General features: G+C 39.0%; 1 annotated feature.

The window, feature by feature from the left end:
- Nucleotides 1,549–2,266: an enhancer, noted in NCBI's record as "NANOG hESC enhancer chr3:81940530-81941247 (GRCh37/hg19 assembly coordinates)". NCBI's record gives its function as "activates a minimal SCP1, AML or CMV promoter by ChIP-STARR-seq in primed H9 embryonic stem cells {active_cell/tissue: H9 hESC(primed)}" and the evidence as "EXISTENCE:reporter gene assay evidence [ECO:0000049][PMID:30033119]".

The following is a 16,027-nucleotide window of genomic DNA, read 5'->3' as shown; positions in this document are numbered from 1 at the left end:
CTCCTTAATAAAACCAAGTGCAGGCTAAAATTTGGAATAAATGGAACACTGGTTTACTGCTGTTGGGATTGTAAATTGGTACAATTACTTTGAGAAAGAATTTGGCATTTTCATGTAACCCTGAACATCTATGTGGTCTACAACCGTGAAGCTCTACATTCATAGGCCTATGTCACAGAGAGACTCTTTTCACGTATGTACCAGGAGACACACACTGAAGTGTTCATGGTAGCATATCCATAAAAGTGAAAACTGGAAACAGGCAAAAGTCCATCAACAGTAGAACACATAAATAAATTGTGATATTTTATACAGTGGAATACTACATAGCAGTGAAAATGAATGAACCACTGCCTATGTCAATATGCATGAATTTCAAAAACATATTGTTGCAAAAAGAAAGCAAGTCACAGAAGAGAAACCAGTGCGTGATTCCATTTATATAAAATGCAAAACTGGCAACAGTAAATACAGTGTTTAAGGACACACACCTTGTAAAAACCAATAAAGAAAATCAAGAGAATGTGAAGATTAAAAATGGTTGCTTCTGGGGTTGAGTAAGAGGTGTAATCAAGGAGGAGCACACAAGGGCTTCTAAGATTTATTAGTTAGGATCTAAACATGAAAGAAAGAAGCAACTTTCAAGTATTTGCATCACAGACAATTTAATCAGGAATTACTGACTTAGGTGATGGAAGAGCTAAGGAACCAAATAGGAGAGTAAGGTAATGCAGCAATTAGCAAAAGCAGAAATTCACTATCATCTCTGGGTCAAAGAGAAAAAGGGAGGAGGTCATATTAACAGAGTCCAGACTAGAACCACATGGGCCTGTCTGGAGCTTTGGAGAACACACAGCCACAGTCAAGGAAGCTACTCAGGATGGGCTGGGGAAAGGAGACACCATAGTTTCTCACTTCCTCCTTGACTTCCAGTTTCCTGCCATGAATCACACTGACCTAACACAGGTACAAGTGAACTGGGGTAATGTAACCTGCAAGAGCCATCCCTCTCGTGATAGAGAACAAGGGATCTGAGTGCCAACAGGCCCAGGACAAGCACAGTAGGAAGGTAAATTCTTTTCCTTATGTGAGTGGTGAGCACATAAGTGTCTGTTTTACTATTTATTCTTTACAGTAAATATATACATTGTATATGCTCCCTTTTATGTGTGATATACATATATTTGCCCTTTTTTAGCATGGGGAAAAATGTCTGGCTTAGTGAATGATATCAGTAATTTTGGTGCACCACAGAGATACACGAGTTTTCCAGATTAAATTTTTTTATGTTAAATCTTTAAAAATTCCAATCAGTTTCCACATTAGTAAAATGGACAGAACCAATACCTACTTTGCAGAGTTATATTAAATTCTAAGCGAGATAGCATGCATAAGAGGCGTAATGTTGTGCCTGGCACAAGGTGGAACCTCAGCAAAAGTGAATGACCAAGCTCTTTTCCTAATGTAGCTGTGAAAAAGCTAGTAGAGCTATTTCTGATTTCAGAACTTGACCAGAAAAGAAAAAAAATCATAAATATTCTAAAGAAGGTAATTAGCATGCTTCTATGTGTTTTTAGTATTGTATCCATGCTTTGCTCCTGGCATATTCAAAAGCAGGAGCCAATACTAGGAATTATCGCAAAAAGATGCCACTATTACAGTATCCATTGTTGAGAGGGGTTCAAGGAGTAAATAAGCTAAGTACATGAGGAAGATTGGCCATACCTCCCACAAGAAAAGATTTAAAAGGAAGCAAGAGGGACTTAAAATCGCTACCCATAAACAATGGCAGGAATGTGTAGTTTATCGAGAGCTGAAATAATCCCACAGCAGTGCAGTGAATTTTCATTGATATATAAGTGGTTGCCTATTATTTGCAACAATGAAGAGGACTAATTTAACACAAGAATGTAGCAGAGAGGCAATGCTGGCTTAATAATAGGTTCATTCTCTGCAGGAATTCCTGAGTGAGTAAGGGAAATAAGGATTGTTGCGAGGCAGGGAAAGGAAGGCAGAACGACATGACTGCGAACCGCATGGCCTCTTTGCTTAGAAGTCTATCACACGAATGTGCCAAGGAGCTGTTTCAGTGCCCTACTGTGTGAGTCAAGAAAGTGACTCCAACTTGACAACATACAAAAGGTAAATACTGGGTAAAGCTGACAGACCTCAGGGATCTCTGTTACTGACTGTTACCTTTAGAGTGTGGTTGGCAGAAGATCAAAGTAGCCCCTGGCACACAGATCTGCAGGTGCACAACCCTAACTGGGGTGCAGAGCAGCAAGGGAAGGAAAGGTACACCCCTCACTGGAATCCAATTTGTTAAAGGAAACTGTACATTCTGTGAAACTGTTTACCCTGATTTGGAAATTAGTGGTTGCCTTAGCAACACTCAAATCCCATGAGGCTCACACACAGTGCTAATTTCAATTCATGGACACCTTCACAGGTGAAGAATGCAAACAGTAACTTGAGCCTTCCATTTGCCATGCCTCTCATAGGAAATGAGACTTTCCTCAGCCTGTAAAAATGTCCTGATAATAGCTCCCATTTTTGATACCTTCTATGGATACGATGCCAGCTACACATTTGATTTTATTTGACGGTCGCATGCAAGCCTGCAAGGCTGGCAATATGACTCCATTTTACAGACGGGAAATGAGCTACAGATAGGCTACATAACTTTCCCAAGCTTACCCAGTGGTGATTTGAAGATTTTATCTTAGATCTGGCTACTCCAAAATTCCACGCTTTTTCAGCATTTCTAGCATAGTTAAGAATAATATAAGCTTCTAAAGATGCAAAGTACCTTGAGGGTTATCCTGCATAGCACCCTCAGTTTAAGCGTGAGGAAATCAAGACACAAGAAGACCAAGAGATTTGCTTGAGATCGTGTGTTCAATACTGGCAGAGGTGAGAGAGAATTCTGGTTTCAGGATCCTATTGCAGCACTGATTTGCTGAAGGCCACCTCTGAACTATCCAAACCGTGATGTTCTCAGTGTTGGACAATGTCTCATTTATTGTGCTATAAAGGATGTGCAATGAGTGGTTGTTGAATAAATGAAGAATAAATGGCACCTTCCAATACCTTCCTCTTGCACTTCCCACAAAAATGCTGTGGTGTAGGAATAACAGGCTGGAACTGGGAGGAGGCAAGTAAGGTGGCCAGGGTGCGTGATTCCCACTCTCAGGGCCATGAGGCACCTCACTGAGGAGTCTGGCCCTGAGGAATAATTACTCTCACCTGTAACAAATAAAGAAACTCTTTTGGTATTGTGTCCAAAATAACCAGAAAAGACCAAAATCGTGATCTAATTCCAGTTTATATTTGCTTCAACTTTAGTTCCTTTACAGATCAACAGTTTTTATTTTTGGAAGAAAACATAAAGGTCTCTTACCCCAACCTTAACTCTCTTGTACTTGTAGCCTCATAAAAGCCTGATCTGAGTTTTCATACAGACATAGGTGCTTTTAAAAAGAAAATCAGTTTCTAGGGTTTATTTCAAGGTGAGAAAAAATGAAAAAAAGTCAGTGCTCTGGAAGTGTGCTTCTCAAAAATCCGATGTGCATATAAATCTCTTGAGGATTGTTCCAAATGCAAATTCTTGTCCAGTAGGTCAGGGATGAGACTCGAAACTGTATTTAGAACAAGCTCCTAAGTGATGCCAACAGTGTTGCCCTATAGACTACATATTAAGAAACAAGTTTTTTTTTAAAAAAAAAAAAAAAGGAGTGTAATATAAGAGACAATTGTGTCATTGTGCAATTCCTCTTAATTGAAGTACATTTTCCTATAAGTTGCTATTGTCCTCCATACTTCTATCTACTAGTAATAAATTTAGCAATACTTCATATTTCAGTGTTATACATCGACTTTAGCAGCATCTACCCCTTCTCATCAGAAATATCCTGACTTCCCTAACTATATGAAGCTCTAAAATATTCAAATATATATGAACAAGCCAGGCATAATGGCACTCTCCTGTAATCCCAGCTACTTGAGAGGATGAGACAGAAGAATAGCTTGAACCCAGCAGTTTGAGTCCAGCAAAATAGTGAGAGTCTGTCTCCCTCTCTCTCTCTCTGTCTCTATACACACACACACACACACACACACACATATGCATATATGTAACAACTGTTTATCAGACATTTATCAATGTAGAGAGAGCAGTAAGTTGATAACATAATTATCACTGGAACTGTGCACTACTGGAAAGAAAACCTGAAGCTTGAATCTAGAAACCAGAAACCTGGACCAGCTTAGCTTACTACAATCTAGCTGAGTAACTACAGGCGAATCATATAACGTCTCTTTGCTTCCATGTTCTCATTTATGAAATTAGGTCATTGAATTAGGGGATTCATAAGTCCTCTTCTAGCTCTGATAGTCTAAGTTTCTCCCTATGTTATGGATATTGCATAATCACACCCACTGTAATTCAAGTAAAACCAAAGTAGAAATAAAAACTGGGAGGATTTCTGTATTGTGTTGAGATAGCATAGCAAGAGTTTAACATTTTAGATCCAAAGCATTAAAGGTCACTGATTTCCACAGATCCTTCCAAAGGTTTGCATGCTCAGCTGCTCATGTCATAAAGTATGCTCAGACACTTTTTCTTTCCGTAGTACAAGGAATCATGTTTATGAGGTATTCCATCTGTGCCTGCAGCAGTCAGCCTGCGGTCGACAGGAATATGAGAGTCAAACAGCAGATTCGCTTTGCCTTTCGGTGTTCCCAGCACTAAACTATTTTCTGTGCCACTGCCCTTCTTTCATGAGCTGACCCTCCCTTCCCCAAATCACCAGAATCTCAGAGCCACCATACTGTCACTCTCGCCATATTGTCATCTAGCTATCCAAAGTCCCCTGCTTCAAAATCCCATTAAGACCTGGCCTCCTCCACAGTACCCTTATGCTCCAAAATTACCTCTCATTCTTCCTTTTCCTAACCTTATCAAAACTTTCATTTCGCTAATGCTCTCAGCCAGTTGTTGAAAAATAGCATTTCTGGTTAATTCTAAAACAAAATAATGGAGGCAGTCTTTATTTAAAATTCCTGATGCATCATATAGTAAATGTTTTGTTTTCCTGATCCACTATCCTTCTATAAAGTACTCCCTTTGTGCCTTCCCATATGTGTAGATTACCTTGACCTTTTTATAAATGCTTTAACCCAGTGCTGGTTTTAGGATTCCAGGACCTTCTTAGGTAGTCAACTGAGATATAAGAATCAGAGCCCCATTCATGGTGAAGAAATATGTCCAATGGTACAGAACTCAGGAAGCATGCCTTTGAACTGAAAGACACTGGCTATTTTTCACGAAGTCATTGAATTGGTCAAGACTTAGTGATGTATTCATTCATCAAACACTTATAGTACTCTTATCATGTGCCAAACACTGGACTAAGGTACAGAAAATTTAAAAGCAAAAATGAATAAAGAATAATATTAACCTTCAAGAAATCTATAATGTAGGCAGAGAGATAATAAATAGCTTATCACAATTCTTTGTAATAAGTGTTTTGATGAATTGAGAGGCCAATTTGGCGAAAAGATGTGCTTAGTTACAGATCTATCTGAACTTGAACATTGTCTCCACCACTTACTTTTGAATTTTAAAAATTCAAAAATTATAAGTACACTTTGCAGAGTTGTTTAGAGAAAACACAAATAAAAAAATCATCCTGATATCAGGGTAATTGGCATTGAAGACATTATATATCTGGCAACTATTATCATTTTATTTCTACAGTGATAAAGAAAGCCCAGATTGCATTACACATAGAAACATAAATGATTCAGATTTCATGAATCTAGGGAGATTTCCAAAACTTGGCAATGGCTTAAAAGAACACAAATAATTTTGTGAATGAATGAGGAGGAGAGAGTGAGGGTTGTAATGGTTATCAGGCAAAGAAGGTGATATGTACAAAGGCACAGAAAAATATGATAGTTCAAGGACAGTTGTTGGCTCTGTGTGGCTGCAGCAAAGGACCAGGAAACTGACTGGTGAGGTTGGAGAACAGACCCCAGAAGGACTTTGTATTCATGTTTCTGTTTGCCTGGGATAGGCCAGAGTTATGCCTGCTGTCCAAAGTAATTAAAAGTGCAAATTCTCACTCTTAACCTTCCAGAATAATCATGGTCACCCTACTAACATTTCAATTTGGGAAGTTTTGATCTAACCTGAAAGCTATGAAGAGTTCCCAGAAAAAGTGAGGCTGGGGAAATGACATGATTAATTTTAGTTTTAGGGAACATTCTGGCAATTATGTGAGCAATGGTGGAGGATGAGTTAGAGAGGGCAACCTGGAGGCAGGTAGAATGTGGAAGTGAAGTCAGTATAAATTGCACTTTCAGCTATATGGTCTGAATTGCAATCAGAGTTAGTATATATCATCCATTTATTTTTCACTTATTCCATGGCCAATGGGGTACTAAATGTTTATGTGTATTATCTCATTTAAACCTCATCACACAATTACAAGATGGGTGTTATTATTATTATGTCTCTTTTTATATGAGGATACTGAGACACAGAGAAGGTAAATTATTTGCTAAAGATCCCAGGAGGATCCAAATTCAAGCTCATGGGCCGAATCTACTGCCAGATCTCATGTTTGTAGCCACTAATTTCCATTGCAACTACATAGGACTTAACCAATGATGACTGATGTCAGGATTCCAGCCAGTATTTCCAGTCTTATCTCAAGTCCTCTCTTTCTTTATTTTGCCCTAGAATGTTCTAGATATTATTATTCATTTTTTCTTGGAGGGCATTGGGCAGCTTACTCACCCATCGAACTAGAACTCAGGTAAGCCCCCTCGGCCTGTAGTAGACCAGAAATGTCCTGGATTCAGGCTGCATAGGGACTTAACAATCTCTTGTCTGCTGTTTCTATCCTATCAATACCACCAAAAAAAAAAAGCAAAAGTTTAAGGTTTCCATTCCTGATATAGGCGTGTCAGTGAAATAATAAGTTTAATTTTTTAAAGAGCATTTTAACAACTTTTCCACATCTAAAAATGAGATTCAATTGTCCTTCACCTCCACTCCTATGCAAGAGGAAAAATTTATTTCCATAATTTGCTCTAATCCCTACTCATACTATTTCACAATTATTCTTCCAAGGATGACTAAAAGTGGTAATATTTATCCTTTTGTGAAAAATGTGTCCTTACTATCATAAAAGAGAATGACATTGATATATTTCCCAACGTTTAGGTTGAACAGTTTTATTCATGGTTATTTGAATACATAGCAAAAAATACTGCTGTTGGCTTTGGAAACAGGATGACTGATCTGTGACATTTAGGAAATAGAATTAGAAGACTAAGAACTGGTTGCATGTGAAACATGAGTAAAAGGAAAAAGTCAAGGATGTTTCTCAAGTTTTTGTCTTGAGTGAGCAGATAGTGATTCATGCAATTAGTTAGGAAGCAGAGTTGGAGGGACTTCTTTAAGTGTTGAACAGGAGGAGGTCATGAGTTCAGTAAATAGTTGTTGGTATGAATAGATGAATGAATGAATATAACAATTAAAAATAACATTACGGACATGAAAAGATAATAGAGAAGTTCATTTAAAATGGAGCCAGTTCAACCAATTATTTCAAGGTTACCTGACAAATTTGAAGCAAAAATGATTTGGATGTCTTCCATTAGCTGGGTGATGAGGAGAATAAATGGGAAGTATAGACATATGTGCATATGAGAGCAGAAACTTACACATCCTGCTGAAAATATTTGGAAACTTATTAGTGAACATTAGGCAGGGGTGTCCAATCTTTGGCTTCCCTGAGCCACATCGGAAGAATTGTCTTCAGCCATACAGCTAGAAAATGTTAGATCTGAAATAAAATACCCTATCATTAACGACAGCTGATGAGCTTAAATAAATAAAAAAAAACAAAAAAATCTCATAATGTTTTCACAAAGTTTACAAATTCATATCGGGCCACATTCAAAGCCATCTGGGGCCGCAGGTTAGACGAGCTTGATTTAGAGTACTTGCATAATTCTGTTTCTTGTCAACTGTTCATGTAATTTTAATTTATTAAAAATATTGGCTATTCGTTTGTTTTTAATACCTTGCATAATGTTATGTTAGAAATCTGTTCTAGTCCTCCACAAGCTTGATCTCTACTCATGGCTCAATTGCTCAAGGTATGATAATGAACTATGAAAGATTATGGAAATCTTAGCTAAACTTGCCATAATTTTTTTTCTGTTTTAATTGGATTTTTCCTGTATTAGAGAAGATTAATAGATCCTTGATTTAAATTATAGAGATAACTTATAAAATTGCTTCTAAAATATCCCCAAATTTTTATTTCCAAGGACATCCTTTCTCAGCCAATGATAGCATTCTTGCTGACACACTCATATTGTCTATCTCTGTCCCAAAGGTGAGGAGGATTTCTGACAGATAGAGACACTTCAGCAACCATGCCAACTCACTGCCAACTTGGACATATGTACAGAGCAGAAAGCATGCTAAAGTTTCTTATGCACAGATCCAAGAGCCCACTGACATTCACCACTGACTGAAGAACATGTCAATATCGCTACAGCATAGTCAAGTTTGGACTGAGCCATGTGAAAGGTTCTGGAAAGGAGAAGATGACCACCTGGTTGGGGCACCACTCTGCTATGTATATGTGCCTCATTTGGCATCCACTTTGTGTGTCTACTGCTGGGCTTCCATCTGTCAAATCTCAACATAATGTCAGAGATATAAACTGGAGATTCCATGGCTACGAAAGGCATTTTTCTGCTGGCTGCCTGATGGCTGTCTGGGACGTAAAATTTCAAAAGCAATCCTTGCTGACTGACCCTTTTATATGGTATGTACATTTTAATTTCAACTCTGCAGAATGTCTGTTTAATCAATATATCACTTCAAAAAAATCTTTTTAAATGTAAAGATACAAGTAAGAGACTACACTCCATGATTTTAATATAAACTCAGATAATATACAAGTTTGAGTTAAATTTTGAAACGTTTTCCCTTTTATCTATAAACTGTATACCTAGAAAAATATAGTATTAACAGAAATGCAATTTACCTTGTAGTATATGTCTAAATTATAACTGAATCACAATGTCTAAACTTTTTCAGAATAAATAGACCTAGGACTTGGAAAATACTTTTCCAATTATGTTTAATTAAAATTTCCAAAATTTATCTACAATATTAGTATTTTAGCCCTTTACTAACTATATTTAGTTATATATCTCATTGAAATAAGTAGTTAATCAAAATACACCAATAATTTTGGTCAATTTTATTTTTTCTTCTTTTGATTCTTATAATTCAAACATACTCTTATTTTTTTCTATATAATTCTAAACATTTCATTCTTTTTTTATTATACTTTAAGTTTTAGCATACATATGCACAAAGTGCAGGTTTGTTACATATGTATACATGTGCCATGTTGGTGTGCTGCACCCATTAACTCATCATTTAACATTAGGTATATCTCCTAATGCTATCCCTCCCCACTCCCCCCACCCCAAAACAGGCCCCAGTGTGTGATGTTCCCCTTCCTGTGTCCATGTGTTCTCATTGTTCAATTCCCACCTATGAGTGAGAACATGCGGTGTTTGGTTTTTTGTCCTTGCGATAGTTTGCTGAGAATGATGGTTTCCAGCTTCATCCATGTCCCTGCAAAGGACATGAAATCATCCTTTTTATGGCTGCATAGTATTCCATGGTGTATATGTGCCACATTTTCTTAATCCAGTCTATCCAAATGTTGGACATTTGGGTTGGTTCCAAGTCTTTGCTATTGTGAATACTACCACAATAAACATACGTGTGCATGTGTCTTTATAGCAGTGTGTTTTATAATCCTTTGGGTATATACCTAGTAATGGGATCGCTGGGTCAAATGGTATTTCTACTTCTAGATCCCTGAGGAATCGCCACACTGACTTCCACAGTGGTTGAACTAGTTTACAGTACCACCAACAGTGTAAAAGTGTTCCTATTTCTCCACATTCTCTCCAGCACCTGTTGTTTCCTGACTTTTTAATGATCGCCATTCTAACTGGTGTGAGATGGTATCCCATAGTGGTTTTGATTTGCATTTCTCTGATGGCCAGTGATGATGAGCATTTTTTCATGTGTCTTTTCACTGCATAAATGTCTTCTTTTGAGAAGTGTCTGTTCATATCCTTCACCCACTTTTTGATGGGGTGGTTTGTTTTTTTCTTGTAAATTTGTTTGAGTTCATTGTAGATTCTGCATATTAGCCCTTTGTCAGATGAGTAGACTACAAAATTTTTTTCCCATTCTGTAGGTTGCCTGTTCACTCTGATGGTAGTTTCTTTTGCTGTGCAGAAGCTCTTTAGTTTAATTAGATCCCATTTGTCAATTTTGGCTTTTGTTGCCATTGCTGTTGGTGTTTTAGACATGAAGCCCTTGCCCATGTCTATGTCCTGAATGGTATTGCCTAGGTTTTCTTCTAGGGTTTTTATGGTTTTAGGTCTAACATTTAAGTCTTTAATCCACCTTGAATTAATTATTGTATAAGGTGTAAGGAAGGGATCCAGTTTCAGCTTTCTACATATGGCTAGCCAGTTTTCCCAGCACCATTTATTAAATAGGGAATCCTTTCCCCATTGCTTGTTTTTCTCAGGTTTGTCAAAGATCAGACGGTTGTAGATATGCGGCATTATTTCTGAGGGCTCTGTTCTGTTCCATTGGTCTATATCTCTGTTTTGGTACCAGTACCATGCTGTTTTGGTTACTGTCACCTTGTAGTATAGTTTGAAGTCAGGTAGCGTGATGCCTCCAGCTTTGTTCTTTTGGCTTAGGATTGACTTGGCGATGCGGGCTCTCTTTTGGTTCCATGTGAACTTTAAAGTAGTTTTTTCCAATTCTGTGAAGAAAGTCATTGGTAGCTTCATGGGGATGGCATTGAATCTATAAATCACCTTGGGCAGTATGGCCATTTTCACAATATTGATTCTTCCTACCCATGAGCATGGAATGTTCTTCCATTTGTTTGTATCCTCTTTTATTTCATTGAGCAATGGTTTGTAGTTCTCCTTGAAGAGGTCCTTCATGTCCCTTGTAAGCTGGATTCCTAGGTATTTGATTCTCTTTGAAGCAATTGTGAATGGGAGTTCACTCATGATTTGGCTCTCTGTTTGTCTGTTATTGGTTTATAAGCATGCTTGTGATTTTTGTACATTGATTTTGTATCCTGAGACTTTGCTGAAGTTGCCTATCAGCTTAAGGAGATTTGGGGCTGAGACGATGGGGTTTTCTAGATACACAATCATGTCATCTGCAAACAGGGACAATTTGACTTCCTCTTTTCCTAATTGAATACCCTTTATTTCCTTCTCCTGCCTGATTGCCCTGGCCAGAACTTCCAACACTGTGTTGAATAGGAGTGGTGAGAGAGGGCATCCCTGTCTTGTGCCTGTTTTCAAAGGGAATGCTTCCAGTTTTTGCCCAGTCAGTATGATATGGGCTGTGGGTTTGTCATAGATAGCTCTCATTATTTTGAGATATGTCCCATCAATACCTAATTTACTGAGAGTTTTTAGCATGAAGCGTTGTTGAATTTTGTCAAAGGCCTTTTCTGCATCTATTGAGATAATCATCTGGTTTTTGTCTTTGGTTCTGTTTATATGCTGGATTACGTTTATTTATTTGCATATGTTGAACCCGCCTTGCATCCCAGGGATGAAGCCCACTTGATCATGGTGGATAAGCTTTTTGATGTGCTGCTGGATTTTGTTTGCTAGTATTTTATTGAGGATTTTTGCATTGATGTTCATCAGGAATATTGGTCTAAAATTCTCTTTTTTTTGTTGTGTCTCTGCCAGGCTTTGGTGTCAGGATGATGCTGGCCTCACAAAATGAGTTAGAGAGGATTCCCTCTTTTTCTATTGATTGGAATAGTTTCCGAAGGGATGGTACCAGCTCCTCTTTGTACCTCTGGTAGAATTCGGCTGTGAATCCATCTGGTCCTGGACTTTTTTTGGTTGGTAAGCTATTAATTATTGCCTCAGTTTCAGAGCCTGTTATTGGTCTATTCAGAGATTCAACTTCTTCCTGGTTTAGTCTTGGGAGGGTGTATGTGTCAAGGAATTTATCCATTTCTTCTAGATTTTCTAGTTTATTTGCATAGAGATGTTTATAGTATTCTCTGATGGTAGTTTGTATTTCTGTGGGATTGGTGGTGATATCCCCTTTAGCATTTTTTATTGCATCTATTTGATTCTTCTCTCTTTTCTTCTTTATTAGTCTTGCTAGCGGTCTATCAATTTTGTTGGTCTTTTCAAAAACCCAGCTCCTGGATTCATTGATTTTTTGAAGGGTATTTTGTGTCTCTATTTCCTTCAGTTCTGCTCTGATTTTAGTTATTTCTTGCCTTCTGCTAGCTTTTGAATGTGTTTGCTCTTGCTTCTCTAGTTCTTTTAATTGTGATGTTAGGGCGTCAATTTTAGATCTTTCCTGCTTTCTCTTGCGGGCATTTAGTGCTATAAATTTCCCTCTACACACTGCTTTGAATGTGTTCCAGAGATCCTGTTATGTTGTGTCTTTGTTCTCGTTGGTTTCAAAGAACTTCTTTATTTCTGCCTTCATTTCATTATGTACCCAGTAGTCATTCAGGAGCAGGTTGTTCAGTTTCCATGTAGTTGAGCGGTTTTGAGTGAGATTCTTAATCCTGAGTTCTAGTTTGATTGCACTATGGTCTGAGAGACAGTTTGTTATAATTTCTGTTCTTTTACATTTGCTGAGGAGTGCTTTACTTCCAACTATGTGCTCAATTTTGGAATAGGTGTGGTGTGGTGCTGAGAAGAATGTATATTCTGTTGATTTGGGGTGGAGAGTTCTGTAGATGTCTATTAGGTCTGCTTGGTGCAGAGCTCAGTTCAATTCCTGGATATCCTTGTTAACTTTCTGTCTCGTTGATCTGTCTAATGTTGACAGTGGGGTGTTAAAGTCTCCCATTATTATTGTGTGGGAGTCGAAGTCTCTTTGTAGGTCACTAAGGACTTGCTTTATGAATCTGGGTGCTCCTGTATTGGGTGCATATATATTTAGGATAGTTAGCTCTTCTTGTTGAATTGATCCCTTTACCATTACATAATGGCCTTCTTTGTCTCTTTTGATCTTTGTTGGTTTAAAGTCTGTTTTATCAGAGACTAGGATTGCAACCTCTGCCTTTTTTTGTTTTCCATTTGCTTGGTAGATCTTCCTCCATCCCTTTATTTTCAGCCTATATGTGTCTCTGCACTTGAGATGGGTTTCCTGAATACAGCACACTGATGGGTCTTGACTCTTTATCCAATTTGCCAGTCTGTGTCTCTTAAGTGGAGAATTTAGCCCATTTACATTTAAGGTTAATATTGTTATGTGTGAATTTGATCCTGTCATTATGATGTTAGCTGGTTAGTTTGCTCGTTAGTTGATGCAGTTTCGTCCTAGCCTCAATGGTCTTTACAATTTGGCATGTTTTTGCAATGGCTGGTACTGGTTGTTCCTTTCCATGTTTAGTACTTCCTTCAGGAGCTCTTTTAGAGCAGGCCTGGTGGTGACAAAATCTCTCAGCATTTGCTTGTCTGTAAAGTATTTTATTTCTCCTTCACTTATGAAGCTTAGTTTGGCTGGACGTGAAATTCTGAGTTGAAAATTATTTTCTTTAAGAATGTTGAATATTGGCCCCTACTCTCTTCTGGCTTGCAGAGTTTCTGCCAAGAGATCAGCTGTTACTCTGATGGGCTTCCCTTTGTGGGTAACCCGACCTTTCTCTATGGCTGCCCTTAACATTTTTTCCTTCATTTCAACTTTGGTGAATATGATAATTACGTGTCTTGGAGTTGCTTTTCTCAGGGAGTGTCTTTACGGCATTCTCTGTATTTCCTGAATTTGAATATTGGCCTGCCTTGCTAGATTGGAGAAGTTCTCCTGGATAATATCCTGCAGAGTGTTTTCCAACTTGGTTCCATTCTCCCTGTCACTTTCAGGTACACCAATCAGATGTAGATTTGGTCTTTTCACATAGTCCCATATTTCTTGGAGGCTTTGTTCATTTCTTTTTATTCTTTTTTCTCTAAACTTCTCTTCTCACTTCATTTCATTCATTTGATCTTCCATCACTGATACCCTTTCTTCCAGTTGATCGAATTGGCTACTGAGGCTTGTGCATTTGTCACGTGGTTCTCGTGCCTTGGTTTTCAGCTCCTTCAGGTCCTTTAAGGACTTCTCTGCATTGGTTATTCTAGTTAGCCATTCATCTAATTTTTTTTCAAGGTTTTTAACTTCTTTGCCATGGGTTCGAACTTCCTCCTTTAGCTTGGAGTAGTTTGATCATCTGAAGCCTTCTTCTCTCAACTTGTCAAAGTCATTCTCCATCCAGCTTTGTTCCGTTGCTGGTGAGGAACTGCACTCCTTTGGAGGAGGAGAGGTGCTCTGATTTTTAGAGTTTCCAGTTTTTCTGCTCTGTTTTTTCCCCATCTTTGTGGTTTTATCTACCTTTGGTCTTTGATGATGGTGATGTACAGATGGGGTTTTGGTGTGGATGTCCTTTCTGCTTGTTAGTTTTCCTTCTAACAGTCAGGACCCTCAGTTGCATATCTGTTGGAGTTTGCTGGAGGTTCACTCCACACCCTGTTTGCCTGGGTATCAGCAGCGGAGGCTGCAGAACAGCGGATATTGGTGAACAGCAAATGTTGCTTCCTGATCGTTCCTCTGGAAGTTTTGTCTCAGAGGAGTACCCGGCCATGTAAGGTGTCAGTCTGCCACTACTAGGGGGTGCCTCCCAGTTAGGCTACTCGGGGGTCAGGGACCCACTTGAGAAGGCAGTCTGTCTGTTCTCAGATCTCCAGCTGCATGCTGGGAGAACCACTACTCTCTTCAAAACTGTCAGACAGGGACATTTAAGTCTGCAGAGGTTACTGCTGTCTTTTTGTTTGTCTGTGCCCTGCCCCCAGAGGTGGAGTCTACAGAGGCAGGCAGGCCTTCTTGAGCTGCGGTGGGCTCCACCCAGTTTGAGCTTCCCAGCTGCTTTGTTTACCTACTCAAGCCTCGGCAATGGTGGGCGCCCCTCCCCCAACCTCACTGCCACCTTGCAGTTTGATCTTGGACTGCTGTGCTAGCAGTGAGCGAGGATCCGTGGGCGTATGACCCTCCAAGCCAGGCGCAGGATATAATCTCCTGGTGTGCCATTTGCTAAGGCCATTGGAAAAGCACAGTATTAGGGTGGGAGTGACCAGATTTTTCCAGGTGCCATCTGTCATCCCTTTCTTTGACTAGGAAAGCGAATTCCCTGACCCCTTGCACTTCCCGGGTGAGGCAATACCTCGTCCTGCTTCGGCTTACGCTCAGTGCGCTGCACCCACTGTCCTGCACCCACTGTCTGACACTCCCCAGTGAGATGAACCCAGTACCTCAGTTGGAAATGCAGAAATCACCCATCTTCTGCATCGCTCACGCTGGGAGCTGTAGACTGGAGCTGTTCCTATTCAGCTATCTTGGCTCCACCCTCCCAACATTTCATTCTTATTTCAGGTGTAGACCAGAGGTGTTTAAATATATCTTTTCTATGTATATAAAAGATGGTAATACGTTTAATCATAGCTTGGGAAATATTGAAAAACTAAAGAGCCTTTTGAAGAATGGCAATGGACATCCCAGAGTATCTTGGCTTGGTCTGTAGTGGTTAATCTTCCTCAGGTAAATAGAACTCTATAGCCCTGTCCTTAGAACTTGATTTTGATGGAGTTGCAGGCTTTGTTATGCTATGATGATTTTCTAATTGAACAGCTGATCTGCTTTGTGTGTGTGTGTGTGTGTGTCTGTGTGTGTTCCTGCTCATGTGCACATGTGAATGCTGATGGTGCTTTTTTGTTACAAAACAAACAAACAAAAACACCATTTTTTATCAGCCCACCCTAGAGTGACTCCTAATGAGTTACATCCTTGTGTAGTTAATCTCCCTTTGAGTGTGCATAAAACCTGTGAATTGGCTGGGCACGGTGGCTCACGCCTGTA

The sequence above is a fragment of the Homo sapiens genome, chromosome 3 (genome assembly GCF_000001405.40).
Source record: "Homo sapiens chromosome 3, GRCh38.p14 Primary Assembly".
Classification (NCBI taxonomy): domain Eukaryota; kingdom Metazoa; phylum Chordata; class Mammalia; order Primates; family Hominidae; genus Homo; species Homo sapiens.
The sequence above is the reverse complement of the archived record's forward strand: the minus strand, read 5'-3'. Positions and strand labels throughout refer to the sequence as shown.